This window comes from Homo sapiens, chromosome 1 (genome assembly GCF_000001405.40).
Source record: "Homo sapiens chromosome 1, GRCh38.p14 Primary Assembly".
Taxonomy (NCBI): domain Eukaryota; kingdom Metazoa; phylum Chordata; class Mammalia; order Primates; family Hominidae; genus Homo; species Homo sapiens.
Genome location: NC_000001.11, coordinates 90,994,138 through 91,019,174, shown reverse-complemented (window position 1 = coordinate 91,019,174; position 25,037 = coordinate 90,994,138). Strand labels below are relative to the sequence as shown.

At 37.8% G+C, this 25,037-nt stretch overlaps 1 protein-coding gene across 21 annotated transcripts in view; it reads left to right on the top strand.

The window, feature by feature from the left end:
* ZNF644 (zinc finger protein 644) overlaps positions 1-25,037 on the top strand; it is a 106,732-nt gene that overhangs the window by 2,861 nt on the left and 78,834 nt on the right. The gene's annotated exons all lie outside the window — the stretch shown is intronic.

Here is a 25,037-nt window from a genome sequence, read left to right as displayed (position 1 = left end):
GAACAAGTAGTGACAGTCATTTATGGTGGAACCCTATAGTGATTTTTAACTTCTTTGAATGTCAGATTTAGCAAAAAGTTAAATTGTTTTAAGGTTTTAAAAGTTTTTATGGGTCATATAAGGTGCTTTTAAATTACTGATTTTTGTTAGTTGATAAGCTGTTTTATAATTTTCAACATTATGTGAGTGGATTTACTTACACTTTCATTTTGTGAAAATTAGAGTCACTTTCAGGTTATTTGTAGTTATAAAGTGGTCTGTCACCTGCCAACCTTAAACATTTTCCAGTTTTAGTTTGTCATTCAAGTTATAAGAGTGTTTTGGTTGAATTGAGACTGTTAATGGGTAGCAGGAGGAGAAAAGAAAGTTTCAAAGAGAATAGAAGTGGTGGGATATCTGCAATCTAGAGAAAGGTCAGGTCCATTTTTTTTCTGTCATCCTAAATATTGTTTTTTAGTGTTACTTATTTAGACCATTTTCTCAGGATGTGATTCTGGAAGGAAAAGTGAATCTTATTCTTGGGAAGGCTTTTCAGTCAGGTCTTAAGACAATTGTAGCTTGCAGCAAATGGAGAAATTGGCATGTTGAGTTATCTAACCCTGATTTTATAGAGCACTTGTTTTAACCATTTTTTAAACTGTTTTCTAAATGTTTTAAATTAGTAACCTTGTAAAATAAAACGAGAATGAAGAGTGGATACTGTAATACTATGGATACATATTCAAATGAGCTTTTATTTACACTTATTAATCTTTCTGGTAGAGAGAATGTCTATTTCGTATATGGAGAATCTGTAAATATTGAGTAAAGTTGTCAGGTATAGCATTGACTGAAGCAGTTCTAGAAGTGGTGTTTTTGATTCAGGTTTATTAGAGGGAAATAAATAGCTGCTGTTAATAGTGCAAGCCGTTTACACCATTGAGTTTTGGGAGATTTGAGAATCATGGAACTGATGCTAGCACTAGCTCACCCTGCTGGTTGGCTAAAAGATTTCTCCTCTTCCCCTTAAGAAACAAACATGAAGATCACAGGAGACCCAGAGGGTAGTAAGACTCTAAATTAAATTCTGTCTTTCTTCAGGGAGAGGAAGTTCCCATGAAAAAGGTGTTTTCTTGTCTCTAAGGCCTTAGTTGCTGCATTATAATTTTTTTTGCAGATCTGCCAAGTTGAACCATGGAGTTACTATCCTTTCTTTTTCTTTCTTTTTGGTTGGGGGACGGAGTCTCGGTCTGTTTCCCAGGCGCGGGTGCAGTGGTGCAATCTTGGCTCACTGCAACCTCTGCCTCTCAGGTTCAAGTGATTCTCCTGTCTCAGCCTCTCAAGTAGCTGGGATTACGGGCGCCGGCCACCACACCTGGCTAATGTTTGTATTTTTAGTAGAGATGGGGTTTCATCATGTTGGCCAGGCTGGTCTCGAACTCCTGACCTCAGGTGATTCACCCGCCTTGGCCTCCCAAAGTGCTGGGATTACAGGCGTGAGCCACCGCACCTGGCAGTAGTTACTATCCTTTTTGAACTTCCTGGGAACTCTTATGTGATTATGGAAAGTTAGTATATTTTTATTCTTTTAATTTCAAGATAAGAAATCCTTTGACAATTGAGAGATGTTAGGAAGAAAAACAGCCCTGTGAGAGTAACTTTCCAGGAGGAAAAAAGCAGAGGATTTCAAGAGTAAGAGGAGGAGGAGCCTGCCAGGGCAGAAGTAGCAGCAGTGCACACTTCTCTTGGTTGGGAGAAAGTGAGACTGGATTAAGATTAGCGTTTCTGGGAGATTTTCTTTCCCCTCTCCTACTAATCTTGGCCCTACCTCTTCTGTCTGCTAGCTGTGGTCTTCCCATTTCATTTGGAATCCTTTGAACTGAGATTTTGTAAGTAAAAATAAAGATAAATGATTTGTTCCTTGAAGCTTAATTCTGTTAGCCTAGATTTTGGTAGAATTGAAGCTGGGTTAGAGTGATGAAGGCAGATTTTATGTGTTAAGCCTTTTGGTATGTGTATCTTTTTTTTAAGTTGAAAATACAGCTTTTAAAATACTTTATATAGGCCGGGTGTGGAGGCTCACACCTGTAATCCCAGCACTTTGGGAGGCCAAGGTGGGTGGATCACTTGAGGTCAGGAGTTTGAGACCAGCCTGGTCAACATGATGAAACCCTGTCTCTACCAAAAATACAAAAATTAGCTGGGCATGGTGGCACGTGCCTGTAGTCCCAGCTACTTGGGAGGCCGAGGCAGGAGAATCACTTGAACCCAGGAGGCAGAGGCTTCAGTGAGCAGAGATGCCGTGCCACTGCACTCTAGCCTGGGTGACAGAGTGAGACCCTGTCTCAAATAAAAAAGACTTTGTTCAAACTCTAGAAACGTAAGTATATTTTGAGCCAAATAGACAACTGAAAATTAAAAATACCTAATAAAGTGTTGATTAAAATTCTTTACACTTTACAAAGCATGTTTACCTGTAGTCTATCAATTATTTTATCTAATTTTTTGAAAAGATTAATATTTTACTTAAAAGTATCTCTTTCATTAGTTTCTTGAGGAAGATATTAAATACAGTCATGTGCAGCATAATGATGTTCTTTGGTCAATAGTGGACTGCATTTACGATGGTGGTCCCATAAGATTGTAATACTGTATTTTTACTGTATTTTATGTTCTATGTTTAGATACACAAATACTAAACAGTTATGTTACAGTTGTGTGTGGTATTCAGTACAATAACATGCTTTACAGGAGCATGTTGTAGCCTAGGAACAATAGGCTATACCAAGTAGCCTAGGTGTGTAAGTAGGCTCTACCATCTAGGTTTGTTTGAGTACACTTTGTGATGTTTGCACAGTGACCAAATTGCCTAAGAATGCATCTCTCAGAATGTACATCCATGCTTAAGTGATGTATGACTGTAAAACTAGTACTTTCAGAGCACCATTTATTGGGGAGGAGAGGGGTAATTCCCAATTTATTGTTGGTTTGTGAAGGTGGGTAAAAGGCTTCACAGAGTTGGAATTAATTGCCTTTTGTTTGCTACTGACTCACTAAATACTTTACACACAGACACACACACACATAGAATCACAATTGCAATTGTAATTATGCATATATAAAGAGGCAGGATATGATAAAGTTTGAAAGTGTAAGCCTTGAAGTAAAATTGACAGGGTTCAGATTTAGCTGTGTGAGCACTAGGCAAGTGGAATTAGTAATTACCATCTTCAAAGAGGTTTAGGGTTGATATTACATAATTCATGTAAAGTCCTTAGCTTTCTGGCATACAATGCTGAGTAAAGTAAGTGTTACCTGTTAGAGTAATAATAGTTATTATTACCATTGTTTAATTATTCTTTCTACATTAACTTGAGATTTTCACCTGTGAGTGATTTGCAGTTGTATACTTTTGCTAATGTCCCATTTTAAGCCATGCCGATAAAGACAAGGTTGTTATAGAGGAAGTGAGAGGTAGGCATCAAAGTGTGCCTTCTCTGATTCTAGCAGCAGAATCTTATAACCAGGTTAAATATTTCAGGAATGCATTCCCAGCACTGTCAGCAGATGAGTAGATACACTTGGGAATGAGTACATTTTAATGAAGTTATTTCCCAGCCAGTGCATTGGTTTGTCTTTGTTATAACATGCTGAATTTCTTCACTCTCCTTTCAATTTTTGACTGTGAGGCCATGTGGTGACTATTAGTAGAGAGAAGAAGGTGAGTGGCTATGCGTATTTGTAATGTACGTATAAACCCAAGATGAGAGTGAGGAGTGGCTGGTAGGTAGCTAGATTGAGGCGGGTGGAATATAATCTTTTCATTGGATAGTCTGAGTTGGGAATTTCCCAAACAGCATTTCCTTTTGCTCTTTTCCTCTCCACACTTTGTTTTGTATATGTCTGTGCTGGTATGGTGTTAAAGTTATCAGTTCCCCCTCTTTAATTTTCTTTCTACCACCAACCTCCTCCTAGCACAAACACGGATTTTAAGCTTATAAGCAAATTTGTCAAAGACAGCTAGTAAAAATAATTTTAGGTTCATTTGAGGAGGGGTACTAGTATGAAATTGTAAGTTTTTCATTTATGCTTGAAAAATACAGCAATTTGGAAAGTGAGGGAGGGGAAGTCACCCATAATCTTATTACCATTATATAATTATTAGTATTAAAGACAGATGACGTTAATTAAGCATCTACTATATTCTTTTAATAATCCTGTGATGTATATATTCCCACTTTACATGTGAGGAAACACATCCACTTAATAATGGAGTAGCCAAGTTTGAACCTAGGTATATCTTGAGAAGGTCTAGAGAGGAGACCTTTCTGTTCTACCTTCCTGTTCTTCTTACATATATATCCTTTTACCTAGTTGTTACACAATTTGTAAGTTTCATCTCCTAGTTTTAAAACTTAGCATTATAAAAACATTTTTCTCCCCCCCCTTATTTCAAGTGGTGTCGTATTGCTCTCATTGTCTATTCATACCACCATATAAAGGCTCTTTGTCTTGGCTGCTGGACATTGGTACAATGATGTTGACCAAAATGGATGCTGCCCTTTACTGAGTGACTAAGATGAAAAAAATCAGGCTTAATCAGAACTAATACTTTATGGGATTTGGATTGCTACAGGTTTAATCATGCTATCTATCCTTGCTGGTGGGACATTTGACTTAGAATTGTATATAAGTAAAATATAGATGAAAAATTGTATAATTTATAGCTATCTGAAAACAACTTTTTTTTAATATTTGAACACTTTGAAATGCCTTACACTTCCTTGTTAAAAATCTTAAAGGGATATTAAAATTAAATGGCACTTAATTACTATTAGTAATTCCTAATATAATATTTAATTCATAAAAGAAAAAAGCTTAATGTTGAATTCTGGCACTCATCGGGAAGATGACATTATATGTTAAGAGATAATTTGTGGGGCATAGTAACTATAGTTAATATTGCATACTTGAAAGTTGCTAGGAGAGTACATTTTAAGTGTTCACACCACAAAATATAACTATGTGAGGTAATGCATGTGTTAATTAGCTAGATTTAACCATTGCATAATTTATATGTATTTCAAAATGTGTTGTACACCATAAATATATACAATTTGTATTTATCAGTTTAAGAAGAAGAAGAAGAAAAAGGTAATTTGTGGGCATTTATAAATAGATTGTATAGGTCAGCACTGCCCAATAGAAATATAAGTTGAGCCACAAATGCAATTTTAGATTTTCTATAGCCACATCAAAAAATAAAATAAATAGGTGAAATTTTATTAATGGATTTTTATTTAACCCAGTATCTAAATACTATTATTTCATCATATAAACATGATTGAACTATTTTACATTTTTTCTTTTTTTAACCATGTTAAGTCTTCAAAATCTGTTAGTATTACATACTTAAAGCACATCTCAATTCAGACTAGCCAGAGTTCAGGTATTCAGTAGCCACATGAAGTTACTGTATTGGACAGTGCAATTACAGATAGTAAGTCCTATGGGGTATAGGGAAAGAATAACATAGAAATTGAACTGAACCGTAAAGGATAGCTGAGAACAGAAAATGCTTGAGAAGAATATTCCCATAAAGAAGTGATAGGAATTAAAACAGCAAATACAGTTTGATACCAGGTAATAGAGTGGCTTGAATCCAGTTTAGGGAATTTGGTTTGGGTGTGTATATGTGTGTGTGTGTGTGTATGTGTGTGTGTGTGTGTGTGTGTGTGTGTGTGAGAGAGAGATTGGAAATATATATTGGAGGGTGCCTAATTCGTGTCTCATACATGAGCACTTGATAAATACTGAATTAACTGGGTGCATTGGCTCATGCCTGTAGTCCCAGCACTATGGGAGGCTGAGGTCGGCAGATCGCCTGAGGTCAGGAGTTTGAGACCAGCTTGGCCAATATGATGAAATATCCCGTCTCTACTGAAAATACAAAAATTAGCTGGGCATGGTGGTGTGCACCTATAATGCCACCTACTTGGGAGGCTGAGGCGGGAGAATTGCTTAAACATGAGAGGCGGAGGTTGCAGTAAGCCAAGATCATGCCACTGCATCCCCACCTGGGCGACAGAGTGAGACTCAGTCTCCAAAAAACAAAAGAAAAAAGATAAATATTGAATTAATATTTAGAGAGAATTAATATGACACTACAGAAAATGCTGGAAAAAACATCCTAACAAAGCCTAGTCGATCTTCAAAAGGGAAAGTGTTTCATTTAGGGAATATTGATGTTCTGTGATTAACAATATGATGGAGATTGATAAAGAAGGATGAGAATTGAGAAAAGGTTTTTAGATTTAGCTATTAATTGGTTACTTGTTTTTAAGTATTTTTTTTAGGTATAACATACAGTGAAGTGCACAAATCTTAAGTACAACTCAGTGAATTTATACATATAAGTATACCTAGGTAACTCCCAGGTAGTGGGAGGTACTGGGTTACACCTGGGGAGAAGAGGATGTAAAAAAAGCACAGACATGAGAATTGTGGAATGCAAGCATTTTCCGTGATTAGAGCCTATTTTAAATGAAATACCCAGATAGAGATGTAGAATATTTTTCTTCACTGATTAAAGGTGCCTTGTGCTCCCTCCTATTAATTTCTCCCTACAGAAGTAACCACTATTTTAACCTCTAACCTCTATCACCATAAATTAGTTTTTGCTTGTTTCTTTTTCTTTTCCTTCCTTTTTTTTTCTTTTGAGACAGGGTCTCAGTCTGTCACCCTAGCTGGAGTGCATTGGCGCAATCTCAGCTCACTGCAGCCTTCACCTCCCAGGCTCAAGCGATCCTCCTCCTTCAGCTTCCTGAGTACCTGGAACTACAGGTGCATGCCATCATGCCTGGCTGATTTTTTTTTTTTTTCTTTCGGTAGTAGAGATAGGGTTTTACCATGTTGCCCGGGCTGGAGTTTTTGTTTCTAAACTTCTTATGGCATATTTGTCCTCCCTCCCAAGGGTAGTGAGAATTGATGCTTGAATCCATCTCTCTTTTCTTCTGTCCTTGTTTGGCATTGTTATGAATTGGGAGGTAAATCAGGTGATATTTGGTACTATGGCCCTTTTTTCCCCCCAGTGACAAAATCAGAGAGGTGCTTCTTAGTGTTCATTAATAGTAATCCTTTAGAGGTTAGTTTTATGACTTGATATTTTGTTTAGAATGCAGAGATTTGAATTTGCCTCCACCGATAACATAGTTGCCTGGCTTGCTGTCATTACAGTATTCTCTAGGCATATAGCCAGGAAGTAGGTGGAGGAAGTTGTGGATTGCCTCCTTATATAGATGGTTTTTGGAGCCTCTTTGATGGTAGCTTCCAGGCATTATGTCAGTTAGCTATTAGGCATTTTAGGTTGCTTATTAAGGTATTTGGGTATTTCTGATTGTAATTTTAGAGGTAGGAATAAATAGGTGTACTTTTTTTTTATAGGTAGGCATCTACCTGTTCAACAGAAAAGTAGAATATAACTAGAATGTTACCTTATGGACAGTTGCTTACAAGTGTGAATGGTTAAAGCCCATGTAGGAGACTTTATAAATGGAAAACTGAAATAGAATTGTTGATCATGATTTTTACTTTTAGTGCTTGAATCAGTTTTTTTCCCCCAAATGGAATTAATAGTTGTAGCATTATTTTTCGTAAATACTGAGCAGTAGAAACCTTATTGTAGTATAGCAGTATTAAATTGGTGCTTTGCAGATAAAGAATTTTTTCTGAAATGGGTATTATAATGTTGTTAAACGTATATAATAAAAAATATATCTTCACATTCTAGTATATCTGGTTTTGAAGAATGAATATGTAAATTGCGCAGAAATGGGTATGAAAAGACTTTCTCATTAACATTTGGATTGTGAATGCTCGAGTTTATAAATGAAAATATTTACTCTATATAAAGAAGTTTTGTCTTTTGGAATTTGTAATAAGTTCATTTAATATACTCTTGCTCCAGGGATTTCAGTATTTGTCTTGAAGAAATAATAAAATCTCACCTGTCAACTTTTCTTATTGTAGCTTTTGTGAAGTATAGAAGGCTAAAGCAAATTGGTTAAATTAGACATTGAAAAAAGTATATGATTATTATCTCCAAAATATTGAGACTTTACACATAACAGCTTTTGGGGGCTAGATTTAGAAAATCACTAACATAAAACAATTAGAATGTTCTTAATTATAGTTTTCAGAACTGACTATGTAGAAAAAAATACACTCAAGTTTGTGTTCTATGTTTACATGTTGTTTTGACAAAAATGAATGTTATGTTTGAATTTAGTTTTGGGAGATTTCAGTTTTTTTGTATTCAGAAAAGTCTTGTTTGTCTGGTTGTATTTCCCCCAATTTTCATAACTTTTATTTAACTGGGTTAGTTGTCATACAAAATTCAGCTAATGCTCCACTAGGGGTAGGGTTGCATATACATAGAGCACAGATATGGCTTCTACTCCAAAGAGCTCATGATCTAAGATATAGCTTGAAGAGTACTTAACTATGAAACATTTAAATTACTGAGCTGACAAAATAAAATGAATGATCTGTAATAAGATTAATAAAGCTTTTTGACAAAAATAATTTTTTACCTAGATTTTGAAGAAGTGGTGTGTATAGGTTGGTGGAAAGGGAAGGAGATAACAGCTAGGGGGAAGAGCATGTTAAAAAAGCACAGATATTTTGGGATGCTGAGGCAGGTGGAGCACCTGAGGTCAGGAGTTTGAGACCAGCCTCGCCAACATGGTGAAACCCAGTCTTTACTAAAAATACAAAAAAAAAAAAAAAAAATTAGCCAAGCGTGATGGTGGGTGCCTGCAATCCCAGCTATTCGGGAAGCTGAGGCAGGAGAATCACTTGAACCTGGGAGGTAGAAGTTGTGGTGAGCTGAGATTGTGCCACTGCACTCAGCCTGGGCAACAGAGTGAGACTGTGTCTCAGAAAAAAAAAAAAAAAAAAAGGCACAGACATGAGAATTGTGGAATGCAAGCGTTTTCCTTGGTTAGAGTCTATTTTAAATGCATATAATAAAAAGTAATAAGATTGTGGCATGAGCTGGAGGGATCTAAAGAAGTTTGGATTAGAAATTGGAAATAAGGAGTTCTACTGAAGATCATTGAATAGAATTACATGAAGAAATATGATTAGCAGCCAGATACAGCGTGATTGGAGGGAGATTGAAGTGAGGAAGGCCAGTTGGTGATTATTATCTTTGTGAGTGGGAAGGGTATATTAAGAGTAAGGATGCATAGTTTTAAATAAGTCAAATCAAATATTGTGGCTCCTCAGTTTGTAGTGCAGAGCTAAAATAAGAATGAAAGAATTTTACTATCTTCTGGTATTCAAAATAAATGGAGATAGAGTTTGCATATGACTTACTAGCACTAATTGAGGTATGCCTTTTTCTTAAAAAAACTGGCTTGGCCTTTTTTTTCTGTTAAGTTTACTTTGAAAACCAATAAAGTTATGCTATAATGGTGTTTTCCTAAGTAAAAAATATTTAAGGTAACTGGTAAGAAGAGCTTGTACTTGTATGCTGAATTTTGAGTTAAAATTCTGTATTTTAGCCATGGCTTAAGAGACATTATAATTTGTATTGGAGCTGGCAGGAAAACAGGAAATAATAAAAATTAACAATGTGGACTACATATTTATATTTGTTTTTAAATAGATACTTGTTTTAAAATTTAGGAACATTTGGGAATACTCTGCTTTTATAGGAAAATAATGTTCTTAAAATGTAGAGTTTTTAATAATTCCTAAATTGAGTGTACCTTATGGTTTATTATGGGTAAAGGTCATTTTTAAAATAGAAGAATTAGAAAAACAGGAAAAATAGAAGTAATACAGTTTTTTAAATCCTCTTTTTTTTTAAGAGTTAGGAAATAGAACAGAAGCTTGGGAACTAATAGTTTTAGAGTTTTAAGATACCACGTTTTAGTATAACATTTACATTTTAAACATTCTCACAGTTAATATAGGCTTAACTTGGAAATATTAAGCTTTTAGGATTTAGTATGTAGTAGTTCTCTGCTGGCACTAAGTCTTTCCCCTTCGCTCCTTTCCAACAGGTATTGCCCAAGCTCTCATAAGCCGTTCTTTTCTTTCTATTATGATTATTATTTTGTAGAGATGGGGTCGCACTTTGTTGCCCAGGCTGGTCTTGAACTCTTGGGCTCAAGCAGTCCTTTTGGCCTCCCAAAGTGCTGTGATTACAGGTGTGAGCTGCTGAGACCAGCCTTTTCTTTTAATTCTGATGGTCAGTACTGATGAAGTCCTTTCCAGCTTTGGGTACACAGCCTTCTGTTATTCCTGCTGTCAATTTTTTGTCTTTCTACTGTGCTTTTCAACCTTGGTTATTCATGTATCACCTTCATCTGTGCGATTATTACCATTTAACTGCAGCAAGTAAAGACGTTAATAGTGAGGTTTTTGGGAATGTGGTAAAACCGGGAGGTATATTTGACTTTGTCCAAGTTATCTGATGAGGCAGATCAGCTAAAGCAAAATACAGTGGGTTGCTCCCTACTATCACTGGGACCTAGAGATTTCATCTACATCTCTGAAAAATGGGGTTTCTGTATGATAGTATGGGTGAGAAGGAATGACAGCAGAACTATCAACTGTTTTCTGATTATCCTGATGAACTAGTGGTATAGGAAGCTTTTCTGAAAACGCTGCTCTGAATTGCTTGCTTAAGTAGTTGCTTTTTTATTCCTGTGTATGGCTCCAGAGTTCTTGGGAATAGCCCTACCTCCATTTGTTTGTAGATGAGAGAAAGCTGAACCTTCTGCTGTCAGTGGAGAAGGCCTAGAATTAGTCTAGAACTGGTGCTATAGGGCCCTGGAATGCTTCAGGAATTGGTGGCTGCAGGGACCTCTGAAGGAATTGTCTAAAAGTCTGTATAACAAGTAAGCAACACTCATGGTTTCAGGAATGGATCTCTTGCCTCATCCAAGTTTTCTTCTTTGACATTCAACCTGAGGATCTCTGTACTTGAGAACAGTAGGCATAGTTCAGGTTAAGGGCATCATACTGGAAAACAGGGAGAATTAAATAAAAATCTGCATGTTGATCTGAGAGTTATTCCCAGTCTCTTTTTCCCTCCCAGTTCTGAGAATACTGGCTGACAAGTTCTTGCCCCATCTAGCTGTGAGATTAAAAGATTCATCCTGTGACAGCAAACTGCTGAGATCAGGAAAAATATCTAACTGATAACAGATGTGGCCCAGATTGATAATCCTACAGTATGTCTACTCATTAAGACAGAATCCCTAGGCAACTTTTAAGTGCCTCAATCTTAAATATGAGATTAAGGATCACCAAACATTTGAGGATAACCTTAATATGAAAGAGAAGAGGGAAATGGAAATACTTCAAGAAGAAGACAAGTTTTTGTAAAAAGTTAACTGATTTCTTCAGAAGTAAAGGTATTGCATCTTTGAAACAAGAAAGGATGCTATGAAAAAGCAGTGCCCAGAAAACAAGAGCTTCTAGAAATTTAGAATATGAAACACTTCATAGAAGAGTTGGAAATTCAGAATATTAAATTCTTAGAGGGTTGGAAGATAAAGTTGAGAAAACTCCCACGGAGGAGGACAAAAAGAGTTGTAAAGTGGGAGAAAATAAGAAAACTAGAGGATCACACTTGCATGCACGTTCAACATATGAAAAGTAAGAATTTGCTGGGCGCAGTGGCTCACGCCTGTAATCCCAGCACTTTGGGTGGTCGAGGTGGGCGGATCACCTGAGGTCAGGAATTCAAGAACAGCCTGGCCAACATGGTAAAACCCTGTCTCTGCTAAAAATACAGAAATTAGCAGGGCATGTTGGTATGCACCCGTAATCCCAGCAAATCGCTTGAACCTGGGAGGTGGAGGTTGCAGTGAGCCGAGGTGGCGCTACTGTGCTCCAGCCTGTGCAACAGAGCGAGACACTGTCTCAAAAAAAAAAAAAAAAAAAAAAAAAAAACAAAATGGGAGAAAATGGAAGAAATTAAGAATAATTGAACAAGAAATGTGAATTTCCACAGTGAAAGGGCTCATGAATGCTCAACATGGTGACTGAAAAAAAAGAACCACATCAAGATACATCATGGTGAAATTTCAGACACCAGAAATAAAGGGAAGATCAAGAAAGCTTTCAGGAATGGAGCACAAAGAAGGGATTAGAAATAGGTAGCATTGGAAAGTAATCAGTAATGGAATAATACATTCAAAATCCTGAAGGAAAGTTATTTCCAAACTATTCATTCTATACCTTACCAAGCTATCAAGTGTGGGAGGAGGCTAAAAATATGAAACATGAGGTTGTTAGAATATTTACTTCAAAAGTACTATATCAGGAACTTACTAGAAGGCACAGGCTCCATCAAAGTGATGGGTTAACTAAAAAGAGGGGGGATCCAGAAAGTAGGATGCATTACAGGAGAAGAGTGAAGAGAATTTCTAGGATGATTATGAAGGGAGATTCAAGGATAGGGCTGTACAGGAGGTCTGAAGAGTAATCAGTTCAGCTTGGGATAGGAGGTTGAAGGGATCTAGATGGCATGTCTTTAGAGAAAAAAAAGACTTTTTTGGTTTAATTCATAAGGGATATTTGTTGGTAGTTTTCTTGGGATAACTTTGTCAGATTTTGGTATGAGGGCAATATTGGCCTTATAGGAGTGAGTTAGGAAGTGTTCCCTCCTATTTTTTGGAAGAGTTTGAGAAGGAATAGTGTTAATTATTGAAATGTTCCCCAGATTCCAGGGAAGCAGTCTGGTCATGGATTGTTTGTTTGTTTTTATGAGACAGAGTCTTGCTCTGTTGCCCAGGCTGGAGTGCAATGGCACAGTCTTGGCTCACTGCAGCCTGGAACTCCTGGGCTCAAATGATCTATCCTCCTGCCTCAGCCTCTGAAGTAGCTAGGACTACAGGTGCTGTCCGCCGTGGTTGGCTAGGTCCTGGGCTTTTCTTTGTGGGAAGTTCTCTCTACTTGTTTTAGGTCTATTCAGATTTCCTATGTCATCTTTAGTCAGTTTCAACAGTTTGGGTTTTTCTAGGAATTTGTCCATTTCATCTACACTATGTAATTTGTTGGCATACAGTTGCATAGTGTTCTTTTATAATCCTTTTTATTAATATAAGGTTGGTAGTAATGACTCCTTTTCCATTCCTCACTGTAGTGATCTAAATCTTTTCTTAGTTGAGCTAAAGGTTTGTCAATTTTGTTCTTTTCAAAGAACCAACTTTTGGGTTGATTGATTTTTTTTTTCTCTACTGTTTTTCTGTTCTCTATTTCTGCTGTGTTCTTTATTTAATTTTTTCTTTTGTCTGCTTTGAGTTTAGTTTGTCTTTTTCTAATTTCTTAGAAAATTAGGTTATGGATTTAAGATTTTTTTTAATGTAGTCATATATAGCTATAAATTTCCCTGTAAGCATTGCGTTTACTTCATCCCATAAGTTTTAGTATGTTGTGTTTTTGTTTTCATTTTTCTCAATATACTTTCTGATTTGCAATGCAATTTCTTTGGCTTACTGGTTACATAGATGTTTGTTGCTTAATTTCCACATATTAACTTACCAATTTCCTTCTGGTATTGATTTCTAGTTTCATTCCATTGTGGTCAGAGAACGTACTCTCTATGATTTTTATTCCTTTAAAATTTATTGACACTTGTCTGATGGCCTAACACCTAGTACATACTAAAGAACATTCCTTACTCTGCTGTTGTTAGGTGGAGTATTCTGTAGAGTTTATAGTGTTCAAGTCTTCTATTTCCTTGATCTTCTATCTATACTATCCATTACTGAATGTGAAGTATTAAGGTTTCTAACTATTATTTTTGAATTATATTCTGCCTTTCAATTCTGTCAGTTTCTACTTCATATATTTTGGGGTTCTCTTATTAGGTGTACACATGTTTATAAGTGGCATGTAATTTTGATGGATTGACCTTTTTATTGTTACAAAACATTCTCTGTAGTAGCAATTTTTTGTCTTAATGTCTGTTGTTTCTGCTGTGAGAATAGCTGCATCAACTCTCTTTTGGTTACTTTCTGCATGGTATAACTTTTTTTATCTTTTACTTTCAGTTTATTTGTATCTATTTAATCTCAAGTGTGTCTCTTGTAGCCAGTTATAGTTGGATTATGTTTTTTACCCCTTCTGCCTATGTGCTTTTTGTTTGGAGTGCCTGATTAATTTCCATTTAATATAATTACCAATAAAGTGGAATTTACATCTGCTATTTTGCTCTTTGTTTTCTATGTGTCTCATTGTTTTTTGGGGTGGTTATTCCTCTAGTCCTGTAGTGCTGCCTTTTGTGTTAAATAGATATTTTCAAGTGTATCACTTAAATCACTTGTTTTGTACTGTATACTTTTAGTTCATTTTTGTAGTGGTTGCCCTGGGAATTATAATTAACAACTTAATTTTAGTCTAGTTGAAATTAATACTGTAAATTTTAATAATATACAAACATTTTGCTCCTATATAGCTCTATTCCCTCTCCTTCCTTCGTGCTGTTATTGCCATACATACATCCTTTTATACCTTTTAAATCAGACAGGAGAAGAAAAAGTTACAAAGAGAAAACAGTTATACTGTCTTTTATATTTACCTATGTGGTTACCTTCACCATGCTCCTTATTTCTTCAGATGGATTCAGATTGCTATCTAGTGTTCTTTCATTTCAGCCTGAGGGACACTCTTTAGTATTTGTTTAAATCTGTAAATGTCTTAATTTCTCCTTCTGTTATGAAAAATAGTTGTAGAATTCATGGTCGAGTCTTTTTCTTTCAGTACTTTGACACCATTGCCATCCGGCCTCCATGGTTTCTCATGAAAAATTAGTTGTTAATGTTACTAAAGTTGTTTGTCTGTGACAAGTTGCTTCTTTCTTGCTTCTTTTAGGATTCTCTCTTCCTTTTTCAGCAGTTTTATGATGATGTGTCTAAGGTGTAGATCTCTCTGGGTTTATCCTCTGTGTAGTTCCTTGAGCTTTTTTGGATGTTTAGGTTAATGCTTTTCATCAAACTGGGGGAATTTTTAGTCACATTTCTTTAAATGCTCTTTCTGCCTCATTCTTATCTCCCCTCTTTTGTAGAACTCCTATTAGGTATACAATGGGATGTTTAATGTTGTCTCACAGGTTTCTTAGGCCCTATGGATTTTTAAAATTGGTTTTTCTTTCTGTTCCTCAGACTGGATAATCTCAGTTGATCTATTTTCAGGTTTGCTGACTTTTCTAGTAAATTGTTCATTTTAGTTATTGTGCTTTTCAATTCTACAATTTGTTTTTTTCTCATAATTTTTTATCTTTTATTGATATTCTCATACTTTCTTTTAGTTTTTTAGACATGGGTTTCTTTTAGTTATTTGAATATGCTTAAAGTAGCTGATTTTAAAACATTGTCTTGTTTAGTCAGTCCTATGTCTGGGTTTCCTCAGGGACAGTTTTGTGAACTGCTTGTCTCTCCATGTGTATGAACCATACTTCCTTCTTTTTTTCTTTGTATTTTTTTTTGATATTATTATACTTTAAGTTCTAGGGTACATGTGCACAATGTGCAGGTTTGTTACATATGTATACGTGTGCCATGATGGTGTGCTGCACCTATTAACTCATCATTTAGCATTAGGTATATCTCCTAATGCTATCCCTCCCCCAGGCCCCCACCCCACGACAGGCCCCAGTGTGTGATATTCCCCTTCCTGTGTCCAAGTGTTCTCATTGTTCAATTCCCACCTATGAGTGAGAACAGGTGGTGTTTGGTTTTTTGTCCTTGCAATAGTTTGCTGAGAATGATGGTTTCCAGCTTCATCCATGTCCCTACAAAGGACATGAACTCATCCTTTTTTATGGCTGCATAGTATTCCATGGTATATATGTGCCACATTTTCTTAATCCAGTCTATCATTGATGGACATTTGGGTTGGTTCCAAGTCTTTGCTATTGTGAATAGTGCCGCAATAAACATACGTGTGCATGTGTCTTTATAGCAGCATGATTTATAATCCTTTGGGTATATACCCAGTAATGGGATGGCTGGGTCAAATGGTATTTCTAGTTCTAGATCCTTGAGGAATCACCACGCTGTCTTCCACAATGGTTGAAGTAGTTTACACTCCCACCAACAGTGTAAAAGCATTCCTATTTCTCCACATCCTCTCCAGCACCTGTTGTTTCCTGACTTTTTAATGATTGCCATTCTAACTGGTGTGAGATGGTATCTCATTGTGGTTTTGATTTGCATTTCTCTGATGGCCAGTGATGATGAGCATTTTTTCATGTGTCTTTTGGCTGCATAAATGTCTTCTTTTGAGAAGTGTCTGTTCATATCCTTTGCCCACTTGTTAATGGGGTTGTTTGTTTTTTTTCTGGTAACTTTGTTTGAGTTCATTATAGATTCTGGATATTAGCCCTTTGTCAGATGAGTAAATTGCAAAAATTTTCTCCCGTTCTGTAGGTTGCCTGTTCACTCTGATGGTAGTTTCTTTTGCTGTGCAGAAGCTCTTTAGTTTAATTAGATCCCATTTGTCAATTTTGGCTTTTGTTGCCATTGCTTTTGGTGTTTTAGACATGAAGTCTTTACCCATGCCTGTGTCCTGAATGGTATTGCCTAGGTTTTCTTCTAGGGTTTTTGTGGTTTTAGGTCTAACATGTAAGTGTTTAATCCATCTTGAATTAATTTTCATATAAGGTGTAAGGAAGGGATCCAGTTTGAGCTTTCTACATATGGCTAGCCAGTTTTCCCAGCACCATTTGTTAAATAGGGAATCCTTTCCCCATTTCTTGTTTTTCTCAGGTTTGTCAAAGATCAGATGGTTGTAGCTGTGTGGTATTATTTCTGAGGGCTCTGTTCTGTTCCATTGGTCTATATCTCTGTTTTGGTACCAGTACCATGCTGTTTTGATTACTGTGGCCTTGTAGTATAGTTTGAAGTCAGGTAGCGTGATGCCTCCAGCTTTGTTCTGTTGGCTTAGGATTGACTTGGCGATGCGGGCTCTTTTTTGGTTCCATATGAACTTTAAAGTAGTTTTTTCCAGTTCTGTGAAGAAATTCATTGGTAGCTTGTTGGGGATGGCATTGAATCTATAAATTACCTTGGGCAGTATGGCCATTTTCCCGATACTGATTCTTCCTATCCATGAGCATGGAATGTTCTTCCATTTGTTTGTGTCCTCTTTTATTTCGTTGAGCAATGGTTTGTAGTTCTCCTTGAGGAGGTCCTTCAGATCCCTTGTAAGTTGAATTCCTAGGTATTTTATTCTCTTTGAAGCAATTGTGAATGGGAGTTCACTCATGATTTGGCTCTCTGTTATTGGTGTATAAGAATGCTTGTGATTTTTGCACATTGATTTTGTATCCTGAGACTTTGCTGAAGTTGCTTATCAGGTTAAGGAGATTTTGGGCAGAGACGATGAGGTTTTCTAAATATACAATCATGTCATCTGCAAACAGGGACAATTTGACTTCTTCTTTTCCTAACTGAATACCCCTTATTTCTTTCTCCTGCCTGATTGTCCTGGCCAGAACTTCCAACACTATGTTGAATAGGAGTGGTGAGAGAAGGCATCCCTGTCTTGTGCCAGTTTTCAAAGGGAATGCTTCCAGTTTTTGTCCATTCAGTATGATATTGGCTGTGGGTTTGTCATAAATAGCTCTTGTTATTTTGAGATACGTCCCATCAATACCTAATTTATTGAGAGTTTCTAGCATGAAGGGCTGTTGAATTTTGTTGAAGGCCTTTTCTGCATCTATTGAGATAATCATGTGGTTTTTGTCTTTGGTTCTGTTTATATGCTGGATTACGTTTATTGATTTGTGTACGTTGAACCAGCCTTGCATCCCAGGGATGAAGCCCACTTGATCATGGTGGATAAGCTTTTTGATGTGCTGCTGGATTCGGTTTGCCAGTATTTTATTGAGGATTTTTGCATCGATGTTCATCAGGGATATTGGTCTAAAATTCTCTTTTTTTGTTGTGTCTCTGCCAGGCTTTGGTATCAGGATGATGCTGGCCTCATAAAATGAGTTAGGGAGGAGTCCCTCTTTTCCTATTGATTGGAATAGTTTCAGAAGGAATGGTACCAGCTCCTCCTTGTACCTCTGGTAGAATTTGGCTGTGAACCCATCTGGTCCTGGACTTTCTTTGGTTGGTAGGCTATTAATTATTGCCTCAATTTCAGAGTCTGTTATTGGTCTATTCAGGGATTCACCTTCTTCCTGGTTTAGTCTTGGGAGGGTGTATGTGTCCAGGAATTTATCCATTTCTTCTAGATTTTCTAGTTTGTTTGCATAGAGGTGTTTATAGTATTCTCTGGTGGTAGTTTGTATTTGTGTGGGATCGGTGGTGATATCCCCTTTATCATTTTTTATTGTGTCTATTTGATTCTTCTCTCTTTTCTTCTTTATTAGTGTTGCTAGTGGTCTATCTATTGTGTTGATCTTTTCAAAAAACCAGCTCCTGGATTCATTGATTTTTTTGAAGGGTGTTTTGTGTCTCTATCTCCTTCAGTTCTGCTCTGATCTTAGTTATTTCTTGCTTTCTGCTAGCTTTTGAATGTGTTTGCTCTTGCTTTTCTGGTTAATTGTGATGTTAGGGTGTCAATTTTAGATCTTTCCTGCTTCCTCTTGTGGGCATTTAGTGCTATAAATTTCCCTCTACACACTGCTTTAAATGTGTCGCAGAGATTCTGGTGTGTTGTGTCTTTATTCTCGTTGGTTTCAAAGAACATCTTTATTTCTGCCTTCATTTCGTTATGTACCCAATAGTTATTCAGGAGCAGGTTGTTCAGTTTCCATGTAGTTGAGCGGTTTTGAGTGAGTTTCTTAATCCTGAGTTCTAGTTTGATTACACTGTGGTCTGAGAGACAGTTTGTTATAATTTCTGTTCTTTTACATTTGTTGAGGAGTGCTTTACTTCCAACTATGTGGTCAGTGTTGGAATAAGTGCGATGTGGTGTTGAAAAGAATGTATATTCTGTTGATTTGGGGTGGAGAGTTCTGTAGATGTCTGTTAGGTCCGCTTGATGCAGAGCTGAGTTCAATTCCTGGATATCCTTGTTAACTTTCTGTCTTGTTGATCTGTCTAATGTTGACAGTGGGGTGCTAAAGTCTCCCTTTATTATTGTGTGGGAGTCTAAGTCTCTTTGTAGGTCTCTAAGGACTTGCTTTATGAATCTGGGTGCTCCTGTATTGGGTGCATATATATTTAGGATAGTTAGCTCTTCTTGTTAAATTGATCCCTTTACCATTATGTAATGGCCTTCTTTGTCTCTTTGGATCTTTGTTGGTTTAAAGTCTGTTTTATCAGAGACTAGGATTGCAACCCCTGCCTTTTTTTGTTTTCCATTTGCTTGGTAGATCTTCTTCCATCCCTTTATTTTGAGCCTATTTGTGTCTGTGCACGTGAGATGGGTCTTCTGAATACAGCACACTGATGGGTCTTGACTCTTTATCCAATTTGCCAGTCTGTGTCTTTTAATTGGAGCATTTAGCCCATTTACATTTAAGGTTAATATTGTTATGTGCGAGTTTGAGCCTGTCATTATGATGTTAGCTGGTTATTTTGCTCATTAGTTGATGCAGTTTCTTCCTTGCATCGATGGTCTTTACAATTGGGCATGTTTTTGCAGTGGCTGGTACCGGATGTTCCTTTCCATGTTTAGTGCTTCCTTCAGGAGCTGTTGACAGGCCTGGTGGTGACAAATCTCTCAGCATTTGCTTCTCTGTAAAGGATTTTATTTCTCCTTCACTTATGAAGCTTAGTTTGGCTGGCTATGAAATTCTGGGTTGAAAATTCTTTTTGTTAAGAATGTTGAATATTTGCCACCACTCTCTTCTGGCTTGTAGAGTTTCTGCCGAGAGATCCACTGTTAGTCTGTTGGGCTTTCCTTTGTGGGTAACCTGACCTTTCTGTCTGGCTGCCCTTAACATTTTTCCTTCATTTCAACTTTGGTGAATCTGACAATTATGTGTCTTGGAGTTGCTCTTCTCGAGGAGTATCTTTGTGGTGTTCTCTGTATTTCCTGAATTTGAATGTTGGCCTGCCTTGCTAGGTTGGGAAAGTTCTCCTGGATAATATCCTGCAGAGTGTTTTCCTACTTGGTTTCATTCTTCTTGTCACTTTAAGGTACACCAATCAGGCGTAGATTTGGTCTTTTCACATAGTCCCATATTTCCTGAAGGCTTTGTTCACTTCTTTTTACTCTTTTTTCTCTAAACTTCTCATTTCATTTCATTCATTTGATCTTCAGTCACTGATACCCTTTCTTCCAGTTGATCAGATCGGCTACTGAAGCTTGTGCATTCATCACGTAGTTCTCGTGCCATGGTTTTCAGCTCCATCAGGTCATGTAAGGACTTCTCTACACTGGTTATTCTGTTAGCCATTTGTCTAGTCTTTTTTCAAGGTTTTTAGCTTCTTTGCAATGGGTTTGAACTTCCTCCTTTAGCTCAGAGAAGTTTGATTGTCTGAAGCCTTCTTCTCTCAACTCGTCAAAGTCATTCTCTGTCCAGCTTTGTTCTGTTGCTGGCGAGGAGCTGCGTTCCTTTGGAGGGGGAGAGGCGCTCTGATTTTTAGAATTTTCAGCTTTTCTGCTCTGTTCTTTCCCCATCTTTGTGGTTTTATCTACCTTTGGTCCTTGATGATGTAGATGACGTAGAGATGGGGTTTTGGCGTGGATGTCCTTTCTGTTTGTTAGTTTTCCTTCTAACAGTGAGGACCCTCAGCTGCAGGTCTGTTGGGAGTTTGCTGGAGGTCCACTCCAGACCCTGTTTGCCTGGGTATCAGCAGCGGAGGCTGCAGAGCAGCAAATATTGCTGAACAGCAAATGTTGCTGCCTGATCATTCTCTGGAAGCTTTGTCTCAGAGGGGTACCTGGCTGTGTGAGGTGTCAGTCTGCCCCTAGTGGTGGGTGCCTCCCAGTTAGGCTACTCAGGGATCAGGGACCCACTTGAGGAGGCAGTCTCTCCATTCTCAGATCTCAGACTCCGTCCTGGGAGAACCACTACTCGCTTCAAAGCTGTCAGACAAGGGCATTTAAGTCTGTGGAGGTTTCTGCTGCCTTTTGTTCGGCTGTGCCCTGCCCCAAGAGGTGGAGTCTACAGAGGCAGGCAGGCCTCCTTGAGCTGTGGTGGGCTCCCCCCAGTTCGAGCTTCCTGGCCGCTTTGTTTACCTACTCAAGCCTCAGCAATGGTGGGCACCCCTCCCCCAGCCTCGCTGCTGCCTTGCAGTTCGATCTCAGACTGCTGTGCTAGCAATGAGCGAGGCTCCATGGGCGTGGGACCCTCCAAGCCACGCGAGGGATATAATCTCCTGGTGTGCCGTTTGCTAAGACCATTGGAAAAGCGCAGTATTATGGTGGGAGTGACCCAATTTTCCAGATGCCGTCTGTCACAGCTTCCCTTTGCTTGGAAAGGGAATTAATTCCCTGACCCCTTGCACTTCCCGGGTGAGGCGATGCCTCGCCCTGCTTCGGCTCATGCTTGGTGGGCTGCACCCACTGTCCACCACTCCCCAGTGAGATGAACCCGGTACCTCAATTGGAAACGCAGAAATCACCTGTGTTCTGCATCGCTCACACTGGGAGCTGTAGACTGGAGCTGTTCCTTTTCGGCCATCTTGGAACCGCCCCCCTCCCCTTTTTTTTTTAATATCTTGTAATTTTTTGTTGAATACTGCACATTTAAAATAATGTCACAACTCTGATAATCAGATTCTCCTCTCTGCCCCAGCGTTGTTTGTTATTTTAGTGATTTTTTTTTTGAAACTAATTCTATGAAATCTATATTCTTTGTCACATATGGGCACTGAAATCTCTGCTCAGTTGGCTTAGTGGTCAGCTAATGATTGGACAGAGATTTCATTAAATGCCTGGGAGCAATAAATCTTTTTGTTGAAGTTATGTGTGTGTTGGGATGCTCCTTCAACACTTAACCAGGCAGTTTACAACTCTGCCTTACTTTTTACTTCCTGCTTGTGTAGAGCCTCAGGTTTAGCCAGAGGTGAGCACTTAGGTCTTTCCTGGGCGTGTATACAGCCCTTTCTGTACATGTGGCTCTCTAGAGTCTCAGGAATATGTTGGAGCTTTACAAAGCCCCCAGCTTTTCTTTTTAAAGCTTTTAGTCTATTGTTTGCCTCAGCTGTTCTTCTCTCCCTCAGCCAGCTGCAATATGAAACAATTACCTCTGATTGTTTTTGACAAATGTCCTTTGGTTGTCCTAGGGTATTGGGGGAAGCTTTTTATACTAGGTAAGTGCTGAGTCAGGTCAAATTAAGATAGCTTTGCGAGTAGAGCCTTCCAGGAGACCACCAGATGTGTTAAATAATGACAGTTCTCTGGGAATGAGGTACTAAAAGAGCTCCAAACCTCTTCTGTCTTTCCTAGTGCCTGCCAGGCTGTTGGGTTTTTGTTTTTAGTTATAAAGCAGTGGGGCCTGGCTCTGTGCTCAGGCTGGAGTGCAGTGGCATGGTCATAGCTCACTGCAGCCTCAAAGTCTTGGGCTCAACTGATCCTTTGTCTTCAGCCTCCCGAGTAGCTGGGACTACAGATGCATGCCAACATGCCTAATTTTTAAACATTATTTAGAGACGGGGTACCACCATGTTGCCCAGACTGGTTCCAAGCACTTGGACTCAAGCATTTCTCCCACCTCAGCCTCTCAAGTAGTTGGGATTATAGGCATAAGCCACTGGGCCTGATCCCCCAGGCTGCTAATTTTCAAAGCTACTGTGGGGGAGAATGGGAATAGGGCAAGATAAGATGCCTTAAAGTGTGCTGGTCTTCCCAAATAAGATTCAGCCATCTATCACTCTTCCTAGATTGCTCCAAGCCTTTGGCTAGTTTCCAGAGTTCACAGAATGTTGATTTTCACAGTTTTTGCCAGTGATCTTGCTGGGTTTATGGAGGAGATGATTTTCGAAGGTTCTTATTTTGAAATTTTTGCTTATATCCTACTGTTGAGTTTTGGGAGTTTTAAATTATTTTAGATATGAGTCTTTTGTTAAGTATATAGTTGGCAAATATTTTCTGTTATTCTAGAGGGTATGTAGGGTTATCTCGTAGTGATTTTTATTTTGCATTTCCCTGATTCCAAATGTGACTGAGTACCTTTTAATATATGTATTGCCAGGTTTTATAAATGTTTTGTGTGTCTTTGGAAAGAATGTGTGCAGTATTTATGTGTCTGTGTCTTAGTTTGGGCTACTGTAACAAGTACTATAGACTGGGTGGCTTACAAACAACAGAAATTTATTTCTCACAGTTCTGGAGATTGGAAGTCTGGGATCAGAGTGCCAACATGGTCAGGTTCTGATGAGGGCTCTGAGCCTCTGATGTCATGTTTTTGATTTAGTGTTGTTACTACTTTCCTTCCCCTTTTAAAACTCTTGTTGTTTATCTGCTGGCCACAAACCCAATTTTTGTTTTCTGAAAATAACTTTTTTTCACCTCATTTTTGAAGGATAATATCATTGGATATAGAAGATGTTGTTTCAGTATCTCCATTTTTTCTGATAGGTCAACCATTAACAGTATTGTTGTTTTTGATATGTAACCAGTCATTTTTCTTTGGCTGCTGTCAAGGTTTCTCTTTGGCTTTCACCAGCTTGACTATGATATATATGCATATGTGGCTCTTTGTGTATATTCTGCTTGGGTTTGTTGAGATTCTTGGATTTGTTAAGTCAACATTTTCTACTGAATTTGAAATGTTTTGGCCATTATTTCATCAACAAAAAATTTTTTATGCTCATCTCATTCCTTTCTTTTTGGGACTTACATATATGTTGGACTGCCTAATAGTGTCCTACTGGTCTCTTAGGATATGTTTATTTTTCTTTAGTTATTTTACTTTCTGTTCTTTGGATTAGACAGTTTTATTTCCCTGTCTTCAAACTCACCAATTCTTTCTTCTGCTATCTCTAATCTTCTGTTGACTCATCTGAGGAATTTTTTATTGTAGTTATTGTATTTTTCAGCTTTTTCTTTTTTTTAAGTTTCTGTCAATTGTTTGAACATAATTTCTTTTAATTTTCATAACATACTTAGAATAACTGCTTTGAATTAATTCAGGTAGACTCAGAATCAGTATCTGTTGATTTACTTTTCTTTTTTCCTGAGTCTGGGTCACATTTTCCTCTTTCTTTGCATATCATGTATTTTTTGCCTGAAACTGCACATTATGGTATGTTTTAATGAATGATTCAGTTAATGTTCTTAGAGTTGCAGGTCTTTTTTTTAAGGTAGATAGTTAACTTACCTGGGCCCAGACTGCAAACTTGGTCTCCCCTGATGTATGCAGCCACGGCCATCTCTGTTTTCTTCTAGCTTTCCATTGCTGCTTTTTTGGCTTGGCTTGTTGGGGGTCTCCCAGTGTCTGAGTAAGTTGGTTGTTACCCAGAGATTTGTGGAGATTGTAGTCCAATTTTGCCCTGTGGTTTTCTTGCTTCTCGGAATTTTACTAATTTCCAGCTGTTCTACAGAGCTTCTAACCTTCACTAGTACTTCAACCTTGTAGAGCTGCAGCTTCCTGCTGCCTACACTGCATAGTTGGGGAATGCACTCTGTTGAAAGGCAACAGATTCAGTAATACAGTGCTATTTTCAAGTGTAGCATCATTCTTTCTAGTTTCTGCCTACTTTTTCCTCAATCCCTTCAGGTCTTCTCTGTGCCTACTGGTTTATCAGTCATCCAATTATTTGGGCAAAGTTTATACCTAGAATTTTTGTTTCACCCCTCTGGTTCTCTGACTGCCATGTTTTTCCCATTTAAATTTCTAGCTGTTTTCTCAGGCCTGAATACAGAGCCCTACAGTGATACTGTCTTTATCCAGAGATAATTTTTGTGTGCTTGTGGGGTCTCTAGCATTCTGTGATTACTTTAATTAAATTTTAGGGATTGAAGGATCGATGAGTGCATATGGTATCTATAGGATGATGTCTTTATTTTTGGCTTGGATTTCTTCCATAGTAATTTCATCCCTGAACATGTTCTCTCCATGAAGTGTGGCAAAGATAGCCACTGGCTGCTCTAACCTACATCGTTCTCATAACTGTTTCCACTGAGGA